This window comes from Homo sapiens, chromosome 11, assembly GCF_000001405.40.
Source record: "Homo sapiens chromosome 11, GRCh38.p14 Primary Assembly".
NCBI classification, from domain to species: domain Eukaryota; kingdom Metazoa; phylum Chordata; class Mammalia; order Primates; family Hominidae; genus Homo; species Homo sapiens.
Genome location: NC_000011.10, coordinates 78,558,899 through 78,583,994, shown reverse-complemented (window position 1 = coordinate 78,583,994; position 25,096 = coordinate 78,558,899). Strand labels below are relative to the sequence as shown.

Below are 25,096 nucleotides of genomic sequence, written 5' to 3'. Positions count from 1 at the left end.
AGAGTTTCTTGAGTCTGTGGTTTGATGTCTTTTACCAGTTTTGAAAATTCGTGGCTATGATCTCTTCAAGTATTGTTCTAATTATGTCTCTCTTTACTCTCCTTATGAAACTCAAATTATGTGAATATTAGACTTTTTCACCATGTCACATATATTTGCAAAAGTAGAAAAACAAAATGGAGATGCCTGTAAAGTTACTGAGCCTGAGGAAGTTGCCATGACCAACCACCACTACCTTCTAAGGAGAATGTCTTTTGCTTTAAAAACTAATGAGTTTCTCTTATTGGAAAACCAATCTGGAATCACAAATGGAAGAGGATTCCAGGAAACACAGGGTTCCAGCCACAGATGGGAGCTCCAATGCTAACTGGACAGTGGATAATAAAACAGAGATGTTTAACTTTAGGGCATAGTAATTCAAATACTCACAGAGTCCTTATAAAGTTAATAAAAAGTTTTTCTATATTATTCTAAAATGTAGAACTCAAACCAAGGGATAGAAAGAAGCAATGAGCAAATGCAGTATATTTGTACAAACTTTAGCATTTATCTCAATGGCTTCTCTTCCAATATAACTATGTGACAGACCATTTTTTTCTTCTTTTGAAAGGGATACAAGCCTCCCTTGCTTTTCTCAAAGAAGTCCAGTTTTAAAGCCAAGCCCTACACTGCCAGCAGTAGATGTACTCACACTGTCAGAAATATCTACAATGAAACTGGATTTTAAGGAGAAAACCTGTTTTTCAACTGTATGTTAATATTTCACATCACTGATTCCCAGAGAATGAGGAGGAAATTCTTATATTCCCTAAGGAAGAGTATCTGAGTGTTAAGAAATTGTGTTTTTCTTTTCTAGAAGGAATCTCAAGGAATTCAGATTTATCCCCCTACTCCCCACCCCTTCTACCACTATGAGCCAGTGTTATTAACAATAGTGTGTCTTATCCTGGGAGAAAAGAGGGGAAAATTAGTGAGGGCCAATGTTCCACATTAAACTGAAGAGAGATACATTTATCTAGTGTGTAAGTCGGCTATTGCTGTATAATAAATTATCCCAAAACATATGCATTAATACAATAGTAAATATTTATTATTCTCACAGTTTCTGTGGGTCAGATGTTTGGGGATGGCTTAGCTTGGTGATTCTAGCTAGGGGTCTCTCATGAGGTTGCAGTCAAGATCAGCTGGAGCTATAGTAATCCAAAGGCTTGACAGGGGTAGAGGACCTGCTTTTAAGATGATTTATGCACATATCTCAAAGTGGCCCTGACTATTGGCAGGATGCCTCAGTTTCTTGCCACATTGACATCTTCTTAGGGTTAGTTATCTTTACAATATGGGACTTAGTACCCCCAGAGCAGGTGATCCAAGAAAGGAAAGCAGAAGGAGTGATGTCTTTTATGACTTGTCCTCAGAAGTCACACACCAGCGTATCTGCTGTATTCTTCTGGTTACATAAACTAATCCTATATGACTAATGTCACAGAAGACTATGCAAGGGTGTGAATACCAGGAAGCAAGAATCATTGTGGCCATCTTAAAGGCTGGCTACCATAACCAGTCAATAAGAAAAGTAAACTAAACTTTATAATTTTGTTGGGCTTCTCCCAAGTTAGTAAACATTAGAATATTACAAAAATGGGAGTTGAATCAATGACTTTTGTATAATTTACGATTAGTGCATATATGTCATACTCTTTCCTGATATACTGTATATCATACTCTAGTAAGAAATGTTAAATCGTTTAATACATTGAAAATAAAGATTTTACCTTTTTAGTGTCTGTCAATGCACATGAGTCTGAAAGTAAAGCTTGAAAAGAGTAGGATAAATCCATTTTCAGGGAAAGCATGTTGTGACTCTTCTTTACTATCGTTCACAGGGATTGGTGGAATTCAAGAATGTTCTGCTAAAGGAATACACCTATTAATGGAAACATCCAGGTAAAAGTAGAATCAGCTTGCCATTGTCGTTCTAATATACCTTTCACAAGCCTCTTCTGAAAGAAGTTTAAACAAATGTACAGAGTCATCGTTAATTATCTTCCTGCTTGAAAAACCAGTGCATAAATTCATCTCCTTTCTGTGTCTTTAAGTGCTTATAGGATTGTCTGTTAGTTTTAGACCAATGGTGAATGCTGATGGCTGCACGGATTTCAGGAAAACATCTTTTCCAGATTCTTTGCCATAGGAATAAAACTTTCTCAAGTTTAGAATTTACAGATTGTTAATCACACTACATTCTTTTCCAAATATATCCTTCATTCCTCATGACATTATGTAGTTAGAGCTGACCATATACTGGGTGAGTAGTAATCCCTCAGGAACAGCAGGGAACTTTCTTAGGTGACAAAGTATTTGCCAAAAGTTTACAGAAAATATCATACTTGCCAGCAGAGACATACCAAGAGTGGGGCAGTGAGAGTAATCTGCCCACGGTGCAGGCAATAAAGGGATGTGGGACTGTAGACATTTTTTTCCTTTTTAAAAATGTTTAATTTGTAGAAAATTTTAATACAATAATAATACTGACCAAAGGTCGATCAAGTTTTTGTTCACAGTTGTAAACTTAAACTATATTAGTTATAAAGTACTACCCCCTAAAAAATAATCTGATCGTTTGTAGAGTTTACTGTTTCAGAAGCAGTTTTTCTTCACTTATAACATTTTTGGAAACTGGAAACAATTGTCCATTCTTTTCTGTCTCATTAATAGAAAATGCTGGATAATATAGATGTAATAGTAAAAGGATAAGACAGAGTGCTCATTATGAAGTTGCATGATATAGTTTGGCTGTGTCTCCACCCAAATCTCATCTTGAATTGTAGCTCCCCACAATTCTCATATGTCATGGGATGGACCCGGTGGGAGGTAATTGAATTATGGGGGCAGGTCTTTCCCATGCTGTTCTCATGGCAGTGAATAAGTCTCACAAGATCTGATGGTTTTATAAACGGGAGTTCCCCTGCACAAGTTCTCTCTCTTGTCTGCCACCATGTAAGACACGCCTTTTGCCTTCTGCCATGATTGTGAGGCCTCCCCAGCCACGTGGAACTGTGAGTCCATTAAACCTCCTTTTCGTTGCTGGGCACAGTGGCTCATGCCTGTAAATCCCAGCATTTTGGGAGGCTGAGGCGGGCAGATCACTTGAGGTCAGGAGTTTGAGACCAGCCTGGCCAACATGGTGCTGCCCCATTTCTATTTAAAAATACATATATACAAAAATTAGCCAGGCATGGTGGTGCATGCCTGTAATCTCAGCTACCCAGGAGGGTGAGGCAGGAGAATCACATGAACCTGGGAGGTGGAGGTTGCAGTGAGCTGAGATTTTGCCTCGGCACTCCAGCCTGGGTGACAGAGCGAGACTCCATCTCAAAAAAGAAAAACAAAAACAAAAAGCAAACAAACAAACAAAAAAACCCACCTCTTCTTTATAAATCACTCAGTTTTGGGTATGTCTTTATCAGCAGCATGAAAATGGATTAATACACTGTGTATGCAATAAAGATAAATTTTATTTTATTTTATTTTTTGAGACAGGTCTTACTCTGTCAACCACACCCAGGTGGGAGTGTAGTGGTGCGATAGCTCATGGACTGCAACCTCCGTTTCCTGGACTCAGGTGATCCTCTTACCTCAGCCTCCTGAGTAGCTGGGACCACAGGTGTACACCACCACACTTGGATAATTTTTTGTATTTTTGGTGGAGATGGGGTTTTGCCATGTTGCCCAGTCTGCTCTCAAACTCCTGACCTCAAGCAATCCATTTGCCTCAGCCTCCCAAAGTGCTGGGATTACAGGCGTGAGCCATGGCACCCAGCAGCAATAAAGAGAAATTTTAAAACGCGAATCTCAACCTTTGAAGTTTTGTGTAATTCAAAAGAAAATATATGATTTTTCTTTTTTGAGTTATCTTGTTTTCCGGTGTAAACTAGAGGTTAATCATATACAAAAATATTTGCAAACAGCCAGAATCAGTCTCCAACAATGTACAGTGGAATTCTAAACTTTAAAATTGTTCCTTGAAGATCACCACATAAAAATTGTGGAGAAGGTCATTAACCGTGCAACAAGAACAAAAAAATGTAAGGAAATATAAATTAGGAAAAGAAACCATTTTCTAAAGAATAACAGGAGACATGGCAAAAGCACTGGTCTTACATTGCCAGAAGAAATATAAAGACTAATGCTTGAATGTCTTAATAATTTTCTTCAAGAACTATTCACTCTTTCTTAAGAAAAGGATCGAATATTTTCAAGATTTGCTGTCATTCAGCCATTTTCTCACAATACACCATAGAAAAGACAACCCACAGAGTGGTTGAATATTGCAATGCATGTAACTGAGAAGAACTCGTAACTAAAACATGGACAAAAGAACTTATATAGATTAATAAGAAAAAAGACTACTCAATAAAAGTAGTCTTTAGGAAAAATAAGACTACTCATTTTTCAATAGAAAAATGGGCAAAAGATGTAAACAGTCAATTTACCAAGAAGAAAGTCCAATGAAAATAAACACTGAAAAGCTGCCAAACAAAAATAATAATCAGGGGAATGCAAATTAAAACAGCAGTGGATACAACCACTTCCCCACCAATACGGCTGCTAGAGCAAGTTTGATTAAGACCAAGTATTATTCTCATTTAAACAGCATATATACTAAAATTGAAAGGTTACAGAGATTAGCGTGGCCCGTTCAAGGATGACACATATATTTATGAAGTGTTCCACATTAAAAAAAGATCAAGTGTTGACAAGAATGTAAAGCGACTGAAACTCTCATATATGGCTGGTCACACTGGTGACACTTTGGAAAAAATTTGGCCCTATTTGTTAAAGCTTAAGGTTGCATGTCTTATAGCAATTTCTCTCAACTATGAATAGCACCATGCAAGGTCCGTGGGTGTTTTGTTTTGTTTTGTTTTGTTTGAGACAGAGTCTCACTCCATCGCTCAGGCTGGAGTGCAGTGACATAATGCAACCTCCGCCTCCCAGGTTCAAGCAATTGTCCTGCCTCAGCCTCCTGAGTAGCTGGGATTACAGGCATGTGCCACCACGCCTGGTTAATTTTTTTTCGTTTTTCTTTTTTTTTTTTTTTTTTTTTTTTTTTGAGATGGAGTCTTGCTCTGTCGCCCAGGCTGGAGGGCAGTGGTTTGATCTCAGCTCATTGCAACCTCTGCCTCCCAGGTTCAAGCAATTCTCCTGCCTCAGCCTCCCCAGTAGCTGGGATTACAGGCACCTGCAACCACACCTGGCTGGTTTTTGTATTTTTAGTAGAGACGGGATTTCACCATGTTGGCCAGTCTGGTCTCGAACTCCTGACCTCAGGTGATCCACCCACTTCAGCCTCCCAAAGTTCTGGGATTACAGGCATGAGCCACCGCATCTGGCCGATGCCTGTCTAATTTTTGTATTTTTAGTAGAGATGGGGTTTCGCCATGTTGGCCAGGCTGGTCTTGAACTCCTGGCCTCAAGTGATCTGCATGCCTCGGCCTCCCAAAGTGCTGGGATTACAGGCATGAGCCACTGCGCCCAGCCAATTTTAACTTTTTGTCATAGACTTATGTATATTTTATGATAGTAAATGATAAAATAGACTAGTAACTACATGTATCTTGTGAATTCATGACCTTTTTATTAAATGCTTTGATATTTCTAGGCTACACAGGTCATTAGTAAGTTTTCTGAAATTGTCACAAATCTCCAAGAAATTTTCCAATATATTTATTGAAAAAAATTCACATACAAGTGGACCGGCACAACTGAAACCCATGTTGTTCAAGGGTCAACTATATATTCATATTAAAAACATCATTTGCACTCCTGTCTGGAAGGTGATGAATCTAAAAGGGAAGGTGTCAAGCCAACACTGAAAACAAAAATAAACAAGAAGATGATGTGATTTGATATAGCACAAGATACAGGGGATGGTTTGAACTGAGCACCAGAAGCGTAAGTTGTATAGTAAACTTTTTCTCTTGTCTTCAACATACTGGGGCAGTGGTCCCCTGCTAAGAACATAATTAACCTTTTGGCTTAAACAAGTAGTGAGAGGGTAAAGGAAGGCAGGAGCCTCACTCCCTGGGACTCAGACTCCAGTTCTTAAGCTGCACATTGTTCCCTGGAGTAGGGGAGTTGGGAGAGAAAGAAGGTGCCTTAGCCCATTTTATGTTGCTGTAAAGGAATACCTGACACTGGGCAATTTATAAAGAAAAGAGGTTTATTTAGCTCATGGTTCTACACGATGAGAAGTTCAAGGGCATGGCCCTGGCTTCTGGTGAGGGCTTTCGTGCTGCATCACAACGTGGTGAAGAAGGTCAAAGGGGAAGTGGACATGTGCAAAAAGGGGAACCCCTGAGGGGCATCCTGGCCTTATAACAACCTACTGTGGTGGAAACAAGCCCATTCTTGCAAGAACTCATGCAGTCCACGGAAACAGCACCAAGCCACTCATGAGGGATCTGCTCCCATACACCAGACCACTTCCATTAGGCCTCATCTCCCAACACCACCACATCAGGGATTAAATTTCAACATGAGTTTTTGTGGGGACAAACAAATCATATCCAAGCCATAGCAGAAGGCAAGACAGAAAAATGGCATGAGTAAGAAATGAGCCAACTGGTTACTACTTTTGATCACTTGGACAGGGTAGGCATAGGCAAAGAAAAGATTTTCACTGGGATAAACATCATTGTTATGTACCCCAGACTGTCTTGTTCCCCAGATTTTGAACGAGCGAACTTTTTTTCCCTTAAAAGTCCATAGCTGCATAATTCTGAAGGCATTGGCTGCAAGTTTCCATTTTTCCTTTCTCAAGGTTCAAGAAGTGCCCAAGTATTTTTTTCTTTTCTTTTCTTTTCTTTTTCTTTTTTTTTTTGAGACAGAGTCTCACTCAGTTGCTGAGGCTGGAGTGCAGTGACGTGATCTCAGCTTACCGCAACCTCTGCCTCCCAGGTTCAGGCAATTCTCCTGCGTCAGCCTCCCGAGTAGCTGGGACTACAGGCACATGCTGCCACATCCAGCTAATTTTTTATATTTTAGTAGAGATAGGGTTTCACCATGTTGCCCAGGCTGAGCTCAGGCAGTCTGCCCACCTTGGCCTCCCAAAGTGCTAGGATTACAGGCGTGAGCCACTGCGCCTGGCCTATATATTTTTTTTGATCGATAAGAAGTGTATTCATTTATTTGCACAGTTCTGCAGGCTGTGCAAGAAGCATCGCACCAGAATCTGCTTCCACTCAAAGTAAATAATGTCAAGGTTTGTTGTCATTCAGCCATTCAGGAAGGCAAAGGGGAGCAAACATCACATGGCAAAAGAGGAAGGAAGAGAGAGGGAGGGGGGTGCCAGGCTCTTTTCAACAATCAGCTTTGCAAAAACTAATGGACTGAGAATTCACTCCTGCAAGGGTGGCACCAAGGCCTTCATGATCCAAACACTTCTCACTAGGTTCCACCTCCAACATCAAGTATTTTCAGATGAGATATTTTCTAGCCTGTCTTAAGAATGATTTTACAATTTTTCCAGGCCATTTGCCCTCCTGGCAACCTTCCGTGTTCACCTTCTGGCAGGAAATTTTCTTACATGCCTACCTGGCAAAATATTGATCCACTTCAAAAATTCAGCTTAATTTTCTCCTTCTCTAGACTATATTATATTTTATCCAACATATTTTATATTATAAGTATATAATATATAATATATCCAATATAATTTAATTATATATTATAATTTATAATTATAATTTTATTATATTTATAATTTTAATTTATTAAAAGAACCAGGGAACACATTTATATTATATAAAATATAAAATTGTGATACATGTATATATTATAATTGTATTATATTTTATCCAATATAATATTTGGATAAAATATCAAAAATAATTTTTTGGATAAATTTAAGAGGTAGCCTAATATATAAGGGTGACTTTTCAGTCCAAACAAATGCAGACAACTCATACATCTATGTGTGCACTTACTGGTTTATATTTCAGTAGTCTCTTTTCTTGCTTGTCTCCATCTCTAAAGCATGAGCTCCTTGATGGAACAGATCACCTTGGGACACTATGTAATACAGCATACTGCTTAAGTGCATAGAGCCAGCACTTCTGGGTTTAAATCTCACACTTAGGGAATGTGTATCCTTAAGTAGGTCATCTAGCCTTTCTGTGCGTAAGTTCTCTCATTTGTAAAATGGGTATAATAATAGTAGCAACTTTAAGTAAGGTAAAAGTGAGAGAGAGAGAGTGAGAGTGAGAGGGAGCGGGAGAGAGACAGCGAGGGCGAGCGCTGGTCTTGAACTCCTGGGCTGAAGCAATCCTCCTGCTTCTGCCTCCCTAAGAGTTGGGATTACAGGCGTGAGCCACCGCACTTGGCCAAACGTTTTACTTTTTAAATTAGATTAAAAACCTTTTAATGACCGTCATTGAGTTACAGAATTTTTTTTTTAATAAAACGTAGCCTAATATATAAAAGGGTCATTGTTTCCAGGTCAAACAAATGCAGATAGCTGTGTTGGAGGGCAGAGGGAAGAGGGAGACTTGGAGGATTCTGGCAGGAAACACTCGAGTTTCCTCCAGTCTCTGCAACATCTTCCCACCGTCTTGCCTGCCATATGCAAGGTCCCTCCAGTTCCTTTTATTTACCTGTCAGAGGACTACTTTCTCCAGGAAGCCATCTCTGGCGTCCCACGCTTAGGCTCTGTCAGGCAAACTGATCGCCCTTTTATGCAACTGTCTGTTTAGCTGTCTGATACCACACAACTGTGACTTGCGCATTGGGGCTATGTCTGATTTTTCTCTGCGGAGTACTCAGGAAAGGAACGACTGATCTCTTCAAGCGAATCCTGTTAACAGCTAAGAGCCTCCTCTTACTTGGATCCCTATTGTTGACTGATGGAGACGGTTTCCCTCTCCATCAGTCACTCCTTGCCTCTCAGTTTCTCAGCCTCACCTGGAAACTTTAGAAATGAAGACCCTCAGATGTGCTCCCACGTTCTTTCAGCGATAATCTCTACAACCTTAGGGCATTAGCTCCGCCCCGTCTCGGCTCCTGACCCCGCCCCCTCCCGCACGCCTCCCTAAGCCTGGGTCACAAGTACGCATGCTCTCCCTTCTTCCCCGTAGCGTGATGACGTAAGCGGCGTTGGCGTGGTGTGGTAGGAGTGGTTGCGCGTGTTGCGGCCCGGGTTCTGTTCGTAGGTTTACAATTGTCGCGGGTAGTGGGGCGCCCCAGCTGCCAACTGCACGTGGTTTCTTTCTGGCGTTTGCCTAGTGTCCTGTCCATTCCGCCCCGTTGGGAAGTGGGAAGCGGAGAGGTTCTGTGGGGACAGAGCTGGGAGTCCTGAAGGAGAAAGCGCGCAGCCGAGGGGCTCTGGAGTGCCTTAGAGCAGAGCTGCGGCCGCGGAAGGGGAGCAGCTGAGAAAGGAGGGCCGCTGCAGGCGGGGTTCGAACCGTGGGGTCTGGGCTGCTCCCGCGGAGGGCCTGGGCGGACGCGGGATGCTGGGGGTCCGCTGCCTGCTGCGGTCCGTGCGCTTCTGTTCCTCCGCCCCCTTCCCCAAGCACAAACCTTCAGCCAAACTGAGCGTGCGGGACGCTCTCGGGGCTCAGAACGCGAGTGGGGAGCGCATTAAGATCCAGGTTGGTGAATGGGAAGGGAGTGGGTTTTTTCTTGTAGGGACTTTTATATGGCACATCCACATCTAGCTTTTCTTTTACAGTCGGGTCAGACACAACCGCCAGCAGGGAAAAGTTAGAAAGTGTAGGCGTCGCGGGTTTGCACTTTTCTGATTTCCATTACTTTTCACAAAACTGTTCCGATAACTGTAAAGCGCTGGAACTTTGCTTTCATGATTCCAGGGTATTACCTGTAAACTTGTTAATCATACCAAAAGTGTAAATGAACAAGCCCCCTTTCTCTATCTTTATCCCTTATAATGAATATCCAGGTTTATAAAGTGGTTGTCTTGACCTCCCTCCTTGAGAGCAGAAACCGTGTCTTACCTGCCTTTGTATTCACACATGGCTGACAGCAAATACTTGTTCAAACCATGCCTTTTAAACTTTTAGCGACCTCAGTGCCTATTGTGGGGGTCTGCATGTAATTTATTTTTAATGAATTCGGAGAAAGACTGGAATGTAGCAGTTTGAAAGAGCTCTGGAGTTAAGCTGCTTAGGTTTAAATCTCTGCATAGCGTTTATGCGTTCTACACCTTATTTTCCTCTTATGGAAAGAGATAATAATTGTCCCTGAGTCCTGAAAATTAAATGAGGTAATGGAAGTAAGATATTTAGAACAGTGGCTCATAGTCTACAAATGTTAGCTGCTATTGTTTCTCTTGCTGATTATATTATTTGCAGCAGCTCCACATAGAAGAGGTGCAGAATAAACAAGGTGTTTGACTGTTTCTTATTAGGTTGCTGAAGTACACTGATGTGGTTATTTATTTTTTGAGACAGGGTCTAGCTCTGTCACCCAGACTGGAGCGCAGTGATGTGATCTCAGATGACTACAACCTCCATCTCCCAGGCTCAAGCAATCCTCCTGCCTCGGCCTCCAGAGTAGCTGAAACTATAGGCATGCACCACCACACTCTATAATTTTTTAAGTTTTTTGTGAAGATGAGTCTCACTGTATTGCCCAGGCTGGTCTCAAACTCCTGGACTCAAGCAGTCCTCCTCCTTCGGCATCCCAAAATGCTGGGATTACAGGCATAAGCCTGGTAGATGTTGTTATAATAAATACTTATTTTTTGAGTAGGTTCTTGCTTTGTCACCCATGATTGTACTGACACAGTCATGGCTTGCCGTTGCAGTGATTTCTGTTGTCCTCACATATCCTTTACTTTTTAGCGGTATGACCAATCTGCTCCTCTTTGAGTTCCATATTCTTTCCATAGGTCTGTTGGTCTATTGATTGGGTATACATTAATGATACTTTGTGTGCTAGTCAAGAGAAAATTCAAAGATGAAAAGAGAACCTGCTGCCCAGGTTAGAGGATTTCAGTTTAGTCCTGTGAGGTCTGATATGGTAGCTACCAGCCACTTTTGGCTCTGAGCACTTGAACTTTGTCTGGTCCAAATTGAGATGTGCTATAAGTGTAAAATACATACCAATTTTGAAGAACCAAAAAGAATGCAAAATATCTCAATATGTTTTTATATTGATTATATGTTGATAATATTTGGGGCATAATAGGTTAAAGTGAAATATTTCATCTATTTTTATGTTTAACGTGGCCACAAAAAGAAATTTTAAATTAAACATGTGACTCACATTATGTTTCTGTTGGACAGCCCTGCTCCAATGGTTAAAACAAATAATTTTAGCAATAGGATAGTTGGTAGTAAGGTAAGTAAAGAACTATAAGAAAACAGGAAGTTACGTAACTGAGAAGGTTAAGGAAGATATCTTGCATGAGGTGATATTTCAGCCAAGTCCTGAAAGATGTGTTCCCTAGGCAGAGGAGCTGGGGATGGGGCAGAATTATAATAGCATCCCAGAAAAGCTCGTTGATAAGAACATGAACTTTGAAGTAAGAAATTCCTTTTGAATCTCAACTCTACTAATCGGTGACTATGTCCTGGACTATTTAGAGAGGTTATCGTGACATCTCTAAATAATGTTTCATCAGCTCTAAAATGATAACCACTTCGTTAAGTTTTTCTGATGATTAAGTAGCATAATATTTATAAAGAGGTTAGAATAGAAGCACATTACAAAGTGCTCAATAAATGTTAACTTTAACAAGTGAAAGTAAGAAAGTAGTCGTTTGGAAATTAGTTTTTGTGTTTTTTTGTTTTTTTGAGATGGAGTCTTGCTCTGTCACCCAGGCTGGAGTGCACTGGCGCGATCTTGGCTCACTGCAACCTCCGCCTCGTGGGTTCAAGCGATTCTCCTGCCTCAGCCTCCCCAGTAACTGGGACTACAAACGAGCGCCAACACTCCCGGCTAATTTTTGTATTTTCGGTAGAGACAGGGTTTCACCATGTTGGCCAGGCTGGTCTCAAACTCCCGACCTCAAGTGATCCGTCCTTCTCGGCCTCCCAAAGTGCTGAGATTTCTGTGCCCAACCTGGAAATTACTGTTGATTTAGAATCACCAAAGAGGAGATGCCTTCTGGGCAGCGCAGTGAGATGAAACCAGAAAGAAGGGCGCACCCCACATCCTGAGAAAGGCACCAAGATATGTGCCCTGTTATTTATTGTTGGGCCAGAGGGCAGGGCTCTGGGAGGAAATACCTGGAATTGCCAATATTGGGAGGATTGATTATATGAATTAGGCTCATCAACATGAAGGAATGTTAGGCATCCATTCGAAATGTTGTGCATTATTACGAAAACAAAAGATAGAATACCAAAGTGTGTATCCTATTGTGATTGGAACATATAAAATTAAGTATGCATATTGGTGAACTAAAAGAAGTTGATTTGTTGAGGCAGGATTGTGAGTACATGTTTTACTTTCATTTAGTCTGTGTGTGTATGTGTAATGAAAACGTAAAATGTTTTACGCTCACATTGGAAATATTTCTCTTCCTTAGGGATGGATTCGTTCTGTCCGATCCCAGAAGGAAGTCTTGTTCCTGCATGTAAATGATGGGTCATCTTTGGAAAGCCTTCAGGTTGTTGCAGATTCAGGCCTTGACAGTAGGTGAGTTTTGTTTTTTAAAAGAATTCTTTGATTTTTGTTTTTCACCTCTAGTGCTTCTCACTTCCCTACTCCAGTGTTTACGTTGGACCCCTGAGTAATCTTTTGAAACAGATCTGCTTTAATAGCTTTGAGGATCAACTCCGAATATTTGGAATCAAGATCCTTCAAGCTCAGGCCTTTCCTCCTCTATTTGACATTGTCACATGCTGATATCCCCTACTTATGCTTCACTTCAGTCTTTCTTAATTACCTGCGGCTCCCTTAAGCTGTTCTGCTCTTTCCTAATAGCATTTGTACATGTTGCTGCCTCTGCCCAATACAGCCTCTTCTCCTCTTGTCTTTCATAGTTCCTGCTTAGTTAGGCATCATCTGATGTTCCCATCCCATGATTATGTCAGGTACCCCTTTTTTGTGCTCCCATAGTGTCCCGTGCCTACATCTGTCTTAAAATGTATCACATTGAATGGTAATCAACTGTATTCCTATTTGAATCCTCCTGCTAGACTCTTAATTTCCTGAGGTTAGGAATGGCATCTCACTCTTTTTTGTATTCTTGGCCTCTAGCATAGTGCTGACAATATGACAAATTATTGCCTGTTGAATAAATGGAAGAAACTTTATGGTCTCATTCATCAGGTTTTAAAACTAACACTAGGTCAGGCGTGGTGGCTCACGCCTGTAGTCCTAGCACTTTGGGAGGCCGAGACAGACGGATCACTTGAGTCAAGTTAAGACCAGTCTAGATATATTAAAACCCCGTCTCTACCAAAAATATAAAAATGAGTTTGTCATGGTGATGTGCACCAATAATCTCCACTACTCGGGCGGTTGAGGCTAGAGCATCTCTTGAGCCCTGGAGGTCAAGGCTGTGGTGAGCCAAGATCTTGCCACTGCAGTCCAGCCTGTGTGATAGAGCCCTGTCTCCAAAAAACCCCCCAAACCAAAAACTAACACCATTTTAATGTTAGGTATCAGCTCTGAGGAAGAGAACATTATTCTAATTTGTTAGAGTGCTTTGCTATTCCGGGGATTGTTAGGGTTAATGCTGTTTACACATTGAATAGGTTCATGGATCAGAGACTATGTGGTTAACTGGGCAGAACAAAAAAAAATTGTTCTGATGTAATAGTAACTTTTTTTTTTCCTGGAGAGAGTCTGACTCTGTCGCTCAGGCTGGAATGTAGTGGCATGATCTCGGTTCACTGCAACCTCTGCCTCATGAGTTCGGGCAATTCTCGTGCCTCAGTCTCCCAAGTAGTTGGGATTACAGGTGTGCGACACCACACTGGACTAATTTTTTGTATTTTTAGTAGAGACAGAATTTTACCATGTTGGCCAGGCTGGTCTCGAACTCCTGACCTCAAGTGATCTGCCTGCCTCAGCCTCCCAAGGTGCTGGGATTACAGGCATGAGCCACCACACCTGGCCCTAATATTAATGGTAACCTTTTAAACAACTTTGTAATTGTTTTGATTATATCAGTATAGCAATCACATGGGTCTAATGGGACCTAGATTTTAGATTTCTGTAGGATGACTGTCTCTTTGAGATATTCCCAGGAAACCTTAGGATATACTTATATTCATATATGTCAGGTAGTACATATTTTAAGTCAGAGCATCTCAAATTACCCTCTCAGGTTGATGAAAGTATACCAGATTTCCCCACCCATAATGCAATAGTGGACAATCTTATTTATATAAATTATATAAGAATAGCATATATTTAGCAAGCAAACAAAACTGGATGGAGAATCTCCTGACTTATTTACTTCAATAAAATTTATTGTATTGCTATATTACAATATTTCAATAGTTTATTAGGAAGGCACTTATTGTCATACTTACTGTAATTATGAAATGTTAGAACTAGAACAGATGGGCTGGGCGTGGTGGCTCATGCCTCTAATCCCAGCACTTTGGGAGGCCAAGGCAGGAGGATTGCTTGAGCCCAGGTGTTCGAGACCAGCCTTGACAGCATGGTGAGACCTGGTCTCTTTAAAGAAAAGAAAAAAGAATTAGAACAGATGTACTATCATTTACCAGCTCCTTTTTTGATAGATGATTCTTAAATGAGCTTAGATGACTTTCCATAGTTGTCATACAGTTAATCTATGGGAGAACTTGAACTCGAACCTAGTCTTATTAACTAGAAAGTAGCACCTTATGTGCTTAGATCACCAGTCAACTAAGTAAAAAAAAATTTTTTTTTAATTGCAAAAATAGGACAGAGAATTCCCGGCAAATTTTATTTTGATTTGCAGTTTTCCCATGTATTCTGTAATCTTTTAAAAAGTGTTTTGGCCAACTAACTTTTTAATAAGGGCAATTGTACAACCTCTTAATTCTGAATTAATTATACAAATTCTTAACTCTATTCCCATTTTAAAGCTTATGGAATTCATTTTATAACTTTATGCTCTATTTATACGACAGATTATCCATAGATTCTGAAGATTATTTAACCCAATAAGGGTAAAAGCTTTTGTCATTAAGTATTTTAATATTCTTATTGCAAAGTTGATATTAAAATGAAGGTTGTATATAATGATATCTTGTTTATCTTGTTTTTTGTTACTATAGAGAATTAAATTTTGGGAGTTCTGTGGAAGTACAAGGGCAGCTGATAAAAAGTCCATCCAAAAGGCAAAATGTGGAACTGAAGGCAGAAAAAATTAAAGTTATTGGAAATTGTGATGCCAAGGTATGATTTCTGACACTTTTGTGGAGGCTGTTTAGGCTTTAATTAAGACAGCAATCTGTTTTAAGTGTGATTATTAGGAAGATGAAACTTAGAATATATTTCATTTGTGACAGATAATTGAAACAAGCCATATGACCTGTAGAGGCAGTAGCAAAAATTATTTATGTACATAGCTTAGTGAGAGGTAAGTGTTGATTTTTGCATCTCTGTGGTGTGTGTCACAGTTAAAACTTGCTGCTTTTACAAGCATGCCCAGTCAGCCACCATGATATACCAGGGTGGGCTCATTCTTAGGAAAGCCAAGAATGACTTTTGCATGATGTAGAACCGATCATCCAATAATGGTAGGCTCTAGCCACCTTTGGCTGTTTGGTATTAAATCCATTAAAATTCATTAAAAAAATCCAGTTCCTCAGTGGCATTACCCACATTTCAAGTGCTCAGTAGTTGCATGTGGCTACTGGCTACTATATTGGATAGCACAGAATATTTCCATTTATCACAGAAAGTTCTGTTGGGTGATGCCGATCAGTAGTATTGTAAGGCTTAGGCCGAATAGAGGCAAGAAATTCTGTATTAAGACATGTTTATGCCTGTTTTTGCAAGACTCTTCTGTTAGCTTCATATATATAAGCTTGATAAAGAGGTTAGAGAGAATAAAAGATTATTAATGAAATTCTTTAAATTTACAGTGGAGAAAATGAGGCCCAGCCAGATGAAGTGATTTGCTTAACATTATGAGCTGATGTGGCACAGCTGAAATTTATATTCTAGCCATTTGAATCCTCTGTGTTTTTGCTACACCTGTCTTCAAATATTTAATGAACAAAAATGAGGAAATATAGGAAAATTGCATCATTTTAATTCATTGTGTATTCTTTCAGTATAATAGGAAGAAATGTAAGGAAATAAAAGAAGAAAATGCAATTTTTATTAAAATGTCATCCTTAATTTCCAAGAAATTCTAATTGATGTAAAATCAGAAATCAGGTTCTAAGATTTCTGAGAAATAGAGTGTAGAATAATTTGGAAATCAAGAGCGTAATATAGACGGTAACCATTTTTCTTTTTGTTTTTTTTAGAGGGATCTGTGATTACTAAAAATTTGCCGTGTGTTTCACTGTAGTAGTTCAACCTTGTCTGTGGTTTTGCTTTTCACGGTTTGTTGCCCACGGTGAACTATGGTCTCAAAATACTACATGGAAAATTCTAGAAATAATTCTTAAATTTTAAATTGCATGCCATTCTCATTGTGTCATGGAATCTTGAGCCGTCCTGCTCCATCCTGCCTAGAATGTGAATCATCCTTTTGTCCTGCTTATCTGTACTTTATACACTACCTGGCCATTGTTGTGGAAGAAAAAACATAATGTTTATATGGTTTGATACTGTCCGTGGTTTTAGGCGTCCACTGGGGGTCTTGGAACATATCCCCTGTGGGTAAGTGGGGGACTACTATATTCTTAAATTGTTCTTCCTTGGCTTCTGTTGGTGTTGATGGCTTCATCTTCCCTGAAGCCCTCTGATTCAGTATCATTTTGAAGTATTCCAACATTAGGGAATTCTGACCCCTAGAATTATGATATGGTCACATTTTCACTTTTAGTAAGTATAGTGCTTGTTTCTATACGACATAAAAGTTTGTATTTGTACAAGACTTAGAATGGATGAGACTGAAAGAAACAGGCTGCCAGTGTAGCTCTTTTTTAGCTTCTCTGTTATCTTTTTAATTAAAACTTTGATTTTTGTCTGAAAGGATGTGTCTGTCTTAATCTTGTAACATGAATGTGAGCAGTGTAGACATATTTCAATGTGGAGCCATAATTTTCTTTCAAATTTTTTGTAAATCTTTACTACTCTGCTAGATGGAAGTAGCACGTTGATAATAGTAATGAATTGCACCAATTGATTATGAATGATATGGGCTTTCAAGACATATAGGTAATTTTAAAATTGAACACCAGCCTTGTGTGTACATCTTTAATATCTACAATATTTTGAACTCCTGTGTGCCAAACAGTGGATATTTTGCATAATTAATCCTAACCTATTTGTAGGAAGTGGTTCACAGCTAATGGATACAAACTTGATAAATAACAGATGAGCTTCAGTGATATTAGCTCAGTTACTTGGCTAATAAGTAGTTGAGCTAGATTCAAACCTACATGTCTCTGATTCCGTCCTACCATTCCACTTACCTGGTGGAAATAATGTGGATTAAAATCAGTTATATTAAGAAATAAAGAAGGAAAGGATCTTAGTTTGGTTCCAAAGCGCTATTTAAGAAATACCCTGGAAACTGATTTTATTAAACAGTATCTCTTTTGACTTCTAATTTGTTCTTTTCATTTATTGGCAGGATTTCCCCATCAAATATAAAGAGAGGCATCCTCTGGAGTATCTGCGACAATATCCTCACTTTAGGTGTAGGACTAACGTTCTGGGTTCTATATTGAGGATTCGCAGTGAAGCGACAGCTGCTATTCATTCTTTCTTTAAGGTAAGATCCTAAAAGTTCCCTCTTGACCCTTTAAACAGTTTTAATAACTGTTTAAAAACAGTTGTGTCTTTTTCTCCTGATGTTAACATGTCTGTTAGTTATGGGTTAGTTTTGATTGGTCTCTTCATTATGGGTTATGGTTTCTTGACTCTACATGACCTAGCTTTGGGTGCCAGACATTGTGAATTTTACCTTGTTGGGTGTTGTGGGTTTGCACACAGCTATTGATATCGCTTTGATCCTTTGAGGTCTTGCTTATGTGATTTGTTAAGCAGGTCTGTAGCAGTGCTCAGTCTAGTACTATTTATTCCTCACTGAGGCAAAGCCTTCCTCAGGTCCCGACCTACAGCCTTGAGAATGATGAGTTTTTCTAGTTTGTGGAACAGGTATTGTTTCCAGCCAGCATGTGAGCACTGGGCACTGTTTTCTCTAATCTTTTTAGATGGTTCTTTCCCTAGCATTGGATAGTTTCCTCACACAAATGCACTGATCTACCTAATACTGCAAGGTGGCCCTCTGCAGCTCTCTCTCTGATATTCTAGCGTATGAACTCTAGCCACTTGGGTCTCTCCAGACTCTGAGTTGTGTCTCTTCAACTCAGGGAGTCTGCTGGGCTCTACCTTACTTTTTCCCCTTCCCTGTGCTGTGGCCTGAAAGATCTCAAGGTAGTAAGCTGGTCTACTGGTAGGGGTTTACCATGTTTGTTTCCCATCTCAGAGAGAGATGGCTTTTGTTGTTGTCTTGAAAACTATTGTTTCATGAGGTTTGCTTTTTATTGTTACTGTTTTTGTTGTTGTTTTACAGTGTTTTTGGTTTCCTGTTTCTCCATCTTGGTCATAGATCTATATTTTGTGTAAAGTAAGCACTAATTTTAAAGAGTTACTGGTGTTGATCAAGTAGGTCTATCTAATGACTAAGGACATTTTGTCTCATTTAGCTTTGCTTCTCAACCATTTCCCTCTACCTGGGAAAGCCACAGTTTAATGTGGTTGACAAGTTGCTAAGGTGAAGGGACCTTCTCTCCCTGTGGATGGGAGGGCCCCAAAGACAAGGAGTGATCCAGCAGATAAAGTTTATTGTTATTCCACGTGGTTTTGTGAGGCTTCCTGTGGTACTTCTCCAGATCCACCTAATTTGCAGAGGTTGTGTAATAGTGGTTATAGACTTCCCTTGGGCTGTATCCAAATTCACACAGCCCCAGTCTCACCAAGAAGGTTCTTGCCCCTTGAAAAAGCTCCTTCAGATTCACTTTTGGTCAAAGAGCTAAAGAACATCATGGCTTTAAGGCATATGCTTTTGATAAGACAAAGGAAAATAAATCAAATTATATAATGTTATCCCATTATAGTTTGTAGGGGTCCAGTTACACATGCTGTCAGAAACTTTGCTATGCAGCTTCCATGTGGATTTTCAGTACTGCTTGAACCACACAATTGTAAAAATACCTTTTTGTTTTTTAACCACATGGCTTCAACAGCTGATAAATTATTAGTTCTGAAGGTTTTGTAGGCTTTTGGCCACTAGGTGGTGGTATTGACAAGTAGACTACACTATACATTGATTACTTGAAACTTTTAGAGATATGTAAACAATTAAAAAGTAAGACAAGCTAAAAAAAAATTGAAATAAAAAAATAAAGTAGTCAGGGTGCAGTGGTTCACATCTGTAATCCCAGCACTTGGGGAGGCTGAGGCAGGAGGATCTTTTGAGCCCAGGAGTTGGAGACCAGCCTAGGCAACATAGTGAGACTTGGTCTCTAGTAAAAATAATTAGCCAGGCATGGTGGCATGTGCCTATAGTCCCACCTACTCAGGAAGCTGAGGCAGGAGGATCACTTGAGCCCAGGAGGTGGAGGCTGCAGTGATCCGTGTTTGTGCCACTGAACTCCAGCCTGGGCAGGAGAGTGAGATCCTGTCTTAAAAATATTATTATTACTGGGCACAGTGGCTCACACCTGTAATCCTAGCACTTTGGGAGGCCAAGGCAGGCGGATTGCCTGAGTTCAGGAGTTCAAGACCAGCCCTGGCAACACGGTGAAACCCTGTCTTTACTAAAATACAAAAAAATTAGCTGGGTATGGTGGCGTGTGCCTGTAGTTCCAGCTACTCGGGAGGCTGAGGTAGAATTGCTTGAACCCGGGAGGCGGAGGTTGCAGTGAGTAGAGACTGCGCCACTGCACTCCAGCCTGGGCAACAGAGCGAGATTCCATCTCAATAATAATAATAATAATAATAATAATAATAATACTGTGTGTGTGTATACATATATATATATATATATTTTTTTTTTTTTTTTTTTTTTTGATACAGAGTTCACTCTGTTGCCCAGGCTGGAGTGCAGTGGCATGATCTTGGCTCACTGCAACCTCCGCCTCCTGGGTTCAAGGGATTCTCCTCCCACAACCTCCCAGGTAGCTAGGACTACAGGTGCGTGCCACCACACCCAGCTAATTTTTGTATTTTTAGTAGAGACGGGGTTTCACTATGTTGGCCAGGCTGGTCTAACTCCTGACCTCAGGTGATCCAACCACCTCAGCCTCCCAAAGTGCTGGGATTGCGGGCGTGAGCCACCAACCCTGGCCAAAAATTACTAAAATGAAATTTGAAAAACATTCATGGCCGGGCGCTGTGGCTCACTCCTGAAATCTCAGCACTTTGGGAGGCCGAGGCAGGCAGATCACGAGGTCAAGAGATCGAGACCATCCTGGCCAACATGGTGATACCCCGTGTCTACTAAAAATACAAAAATTAGCTGGGCGTGGTGTTGCGTGCCTGTAGTCCCAGCTACTTGGGAGGTTGAGGCAGGAGAATCACTTGAATCCGGGAGGCGGAGGTTGCAGTGAACCGAGATTGCGCCACTGCACTCCAACCTGGCGACAGAGTAAGACTCTGTCTCAAAAAAAAAAAAAAAAAAAAATTCAAGTGGTTGGAAATAACTTGAATTTTAGCACCATTCGTGATAGAGTAGTTACAAAAATAGACACTTTTTGAGTAGTAATAAATTCACTTAGTATTTGTAAAGACCTGGAGAATATAATTCTGTTACCTACCTTTATGTGTGATAGTTATCTACCTTTATGTGTGATACTTAGGATTAGTTGTTTAAAGAACCCTTTCTGTAGTACTATAAGGCATATTAAGTAATAGTTATATGTTACCTAGTATTTTGTAGTGTTTCTTTGATCTGTTACTTTGGGTTTGCTAAAAGATGTTAAGCCTCCAAATAAAAAATTTTCGTAAGTTTCAGTTTTGTTAATTAAAATATAGAAATGTGGGGGAAAAATGGAAACTTGAACAGTACTTTTAAGACACTTTAAGGATCTAAGGTTATTTCTTGGTTTGAGTATGAAAAATATTTTTTGTATAACCTTGTTTGCTCATAAAACTGACATACTTGTTATGTACTAAAACTTGGCTATTTAGAATCCTCAAGGAATGAGTCATTCAGTAAAGCCAAGTTTCTGAAATAACTGAGGAATTTTCTCTTTAGGCACCAATTTTTTCTAAATTCCAGTGGAAGTGTTCCTAAAATGAATTACTTACTTTCCCCTCTTCCTCAGTGAGCCAGTAGAAAAGATTCTGCTCTTTCTTTCTCAGTGAGTCGAGGTTCTTCCTGTGAGTATCAGGGATTGTTCTTCTCTGTATGGCAGCGTTTTCAAAGCCTGCCACTGACTATGTGAAGTATTTTTGTTGTTGTTGTTTTGAGATGAAGTCTCATACTGTTGTCCGGGCTGGAGTGCAGTGGTGCAGTCATGGCTTACTGCCACCTTAATCCCCCAGGCCCAATTGATCCTCCTACCTCAGCCTCCCAAGTAGCTGGGACTATAGGCATGCACCACTGTGCCTGGCTCGTTTTTTTTAATGTATTTTTTGTAGAGATGGGATCTCACTGTGTTGCCTAAGCTGGTCTTGAACTCCTAGGCCCAAGCAATCCTGCCTGGACCAACCAAAGTGCTAGGGTCCAGATATGAGCCACTGTGCCCCAGCCTATGTGGAGTATTCTTTACCTTTGTGTAGAATGTCTCCAAATTGCTATGCCTTTGAGTTCCTGTGACTGCTGTTTATGTTTTTTGTTTTTTGTTTTTTGTTTTTTGTTTTTTGACAGAGTCTCGCCGTGTCACCCAGGCTAGAGCACAGTGGCGTGATCTCGGCTCACTGCAACCTCTGCCTCAGCCTCCTGAGTATCTGGGACTACAGGTGTGCACTACCACACCGGGCTAATTTTTGTATTTTTTAGTAGAAACTGGGTTTTACCATGTTGGTCAGGCTAGTCTCAAACTCCTGACCTCAGGTGATTCACCCGCCTCAGCCTCCCAAAGTGCTGGGATTACAGGCGTGAGACACTGCTCCTGGCCTCTTTATGGAATTTTAAAATCTGTTCTTGCTGTCACTTTATGTTGTCTATGGCCTGCCTGTGGCTAGCAATTCCTTTCACGTTTCCTTTTTTGTTGATTCTGATTAAATAATAGTTATTTCAGTTTCACGTGAAAGAAAAAGATAATCTATTAGTCTTCTCTTACTGATGTGTATGGGCCGTAATGTATGAACTTTATAATTTTGGGATACTCAGAGCCTTATAAAATATCTGGTTTTAGAATGTGTATTAAAATATTTAAATACTTGGAGGTGATGGGTGGAATCTGAAAAATTGGGTGAAAGTGGTTGCTTTTATTTTTGGCCTCTTTTCTGGCCTTCATGTTTCTACTTAGGAGCCCCTTTGCTGCGGGACAGTATAAATAAGTGACACTGGAAACCTATTTGAGGCACATACTGACAATACTTAACCACTCCTTGCTATTTACTTTCCTTTTATTCTTTTTACTCCCCCACCCGCTTTCACTTTTTTGGACTTTGTTTGCACGGCTGTATTATTCTTCCTTTGTACTCTCTCCTTTATTAGCATTTGGTAACGTTAGGAACTTTGATAAGCCTTGCTAGCAGTTTTAAAGCAGCGAAAGCTGCTGGGCCCTTTTGTAATGTTTAGCATTAGTTAAGTATTAAAAATAATTCCCACTAGGTGTGTGATTTAAAAAAAAATCTCAGTTATTTTCCTAAGATTTACAGTGCTGTTTCTTGTGGCATTTGACCAGTTCTAACTTGGGCAATCATGTTTAGCCGTTAAATTTTCTCCTCCCTCTCCACCTCCCCTTCCCCACCCTCGTTTCCTTTGGATTTTTCACTTCCTTTCTTTGTTTACTGCACTCATGTTCATAGTTGCCTACGTTCATGTGGAAGAAATGTTTCATGTCCATGATTCTTGGCTCCTAGGAGATAAAAATTTTATGCAGTAATGTTATTGATCAGATTTTATTGGTTTTCTATAATGTGCTCTGTGCAGCACCTCTGGGCATGTTGCTGTCAGATTAAGTGTACATTTTAATACTTTCTGAGACTGCTAATTTAGAGCTTGAATATTTAATCAGTCCACATCATAAGGCAAGTTGTTGACTGAATACTTTGTATTATAGCCAGAATACTTGAATTTGAGAAGGATCATATTCGGGAGGTCCCTAGTAATGCATAGAGACAATCTACACTCCACCAAACTTGGCAGAGATATGTATTTAAGAATTTATTGTATTGATTCCAAGACCAAAATTTTGCATTAAGCATGTACTATCCTACATTTCTATTATAAATTCACTTTTCGTTACCTGCAGTCCCACCCTGCAAACATCTACATTGTGTGTAACCTTTTGCTTACATCCATAGTCAAAATGAAAGAAGCATAACCTTGAAGTTGCTGACTAGCAACAGCTTTTGTGGTTCACTAATGGAAATAGTCTCAGACTTTTGTTCGGAAGAGCTCCATTTGGGGACCTCGGTAATGGATGGATTTGCTGCTGCTCAGAATATTCCTTCAGGCAAAGGAAGTACACTGCCTGTGCCATGTGGAGTCCATTGTGCCATCAGTTTAATGACAGAGACCTCCTAAAGATCATTTCTGCCTTTTTTTGCTGTTTGTTTATTCAGTCTCTATTTGTCTACTTTTTCTCCTTTTTTGGTGGTTCATTACAATTGAGGTCATATTTCAAGATAAGTTTATACTGATCGCTTTGTATTCCTCTAGCAACGTGGGCAGCATCATTATGCATTAGCCTATAGTGTGCGTATGTGTTTGTTAAATCACCACCAAAATGTTAGAGAAATGGGAAGAGAATATAGTACTAAAGAGAGAGCATGAAGACCTAGGTTCTAGTCCTGGCTCAGCCACTGACTAATTGTGTAACTTGTGGAAAGTCACTAAATCTGTCTGGGCCTTAACTTCCTTATCTTTGAAATGAAGATGTTGGACTAGTTAATGTCTAAGTGTGTTCCTGAATTAAAATTATTTGTGCCCCTGTGGGTAGTTAAAACACTCAACTGATTTTCAGTAGTCTTAATATTTAGGGGATTAGGGAGGGATTTGATACAGCATCTGCTTAGTGTGCCATTTTAATACTATAAGAGGATGTGTGTTCTTGGAATTGTTGAATGTGCAAATATCCTGAAAACAGTGGTTTTCTTTTTCAGGACAGTGGCTTTGTACATATTCATACTCCAATAATCACATCCAATGACTCTGAGGGAGCTGGAGAACTTTTTCAACTTGAAGTAAGTTTTGCTTCCCATCTTGAGGGGTACATTGCTGTTTAATATTTTTCATTTGAGGGTTTGAAATTTAATAATAGTTTTGTGGACAGAAGACTATGAGCAGCACCTGAAATTGTCAATAAAAATCCTTGAAAAACTTACATAGACAATTCAAACCAGTCTCATTTCCTGTAGTACCAGCAGTCTTATGCTGTGACAGGTAAGAATGAATTTTTTTTTTTTTTTTTTTTTTTTTTTGAGATGGAGTCTCACTCTGTGGCCAGGCTGGAGTGCAGTGGTGTGATCTCGACTCACTGCAACCTCCGCCTCTAGGGTTCAAGCGATTCTCCTGCCTCGGCCTCCCGAGTAGCTGGTACTACAGGTGCCTGCCACCAGGCCCAGCTAATTTTTGTATTTTTAGTAGAGACGGGGTTTCTCTTGGTTAGCCAGGATGGTTTCGATCTCTTGACCTTGTAATCCACCTGCCTTGGCCTACCAGAGTGCTGGGATTACAGGTGTGAGCCACCATGCCTGGCCAAGAGTGAATTTTTAATTTAGCACTCTATTTACTTTTCTTAAGTTACTGTGAATTGCTGAACTAGAGAGATTTGAAGAGGCAAATGAGGATTTTAAGCTCTCTCTTACGCAGATTCAATCCACA

At 40.0% G+C, this 25,096-nt stretch overlaps 1 protein-coding gene and 2 pseudogenes across 26 annotated transcripts in view, besides 2 other annotated features; 2 read left to right on the top strand and 1 right to left on the bottom strand.

The window, feature by feature from the left end:
• On the bottom strand, positions 1,839-2,320 carry COPS8P3 (COP9 signalosome subunit 8 pseudogene 3; annotated as a pseudogene).
• RNU6-311P (RNA, U6 small nuclear 311, pseudogene) lies at positions 4,639-4,740 on the top strand (annotated as a pseudogene).
• Positions 8,836-8,975: an enhancer, noted in NCBI's record as "active region_5328". NCBI's record gives its function as "activates an Ori minimal core promoter by ATAC-STARR-seq in GM12878 lymphoblastoid cells {active_cell/tissue: GM12878}" and the evidence as "EXISTENCE:reporter gene assay evidence [ECO:0000049][PMID:35858748]".
• Positions 9,131-25,096, top strand: part of NARS2 (asparaginyl-tRNA synthetase 2, mitochondrial) — a 138,897-nt gene continuing 122,931 nt past the window's right edge. For 17 of the 26 annotated variants that reach the window (NR_189156.1, NR_189154.1, NR_189157.1 and 14 more), the window contains exons 1-5: positions 9,131-9,647; positions 12,551-12,660; positions 15,243-15,363; positions 17,723-17,863; positions 24,376-24,456. Coding sequence is in view for 17 of the 26 variants with exons in the window: in NM_001425307.1 (NP_001412236.1) it covers positions 9,507-9,647; positions 12,551-12,660; positions 15,243-15,363; positions 17,723-17,863; positions 24,376-24,456 (594 nt within the window). In the remaining 9 variants the exon portion in view is untranslated. Of the gene's footprint in view, positions 9,648-10,466; positions 10,730-12,550; positions 12,661-15,242; positions 15,364-17,722; positions 17,864-24,375; positions 24,457-25,096 lie in introns of all 26 variants that reach the window. The other 9 variants (NR_189155.1, NM_001425314.1, NM_001243251.2 and 6 more) reach the window with 4 other exon arrangements.
• Positions 9,636-9,745: an enhancer, noted in NCBI's record as "active region_5327". NCBI's record gives its function as "activates an Ori minimal core promoter by ATAC-STARR-seq in GM12878 lymphoblastoid cells {active_cell/tissue: GM12878}" and the evidence as "EXISTENCE:reporter gene assay evidence [ECO:0000049][PMID:35858748]".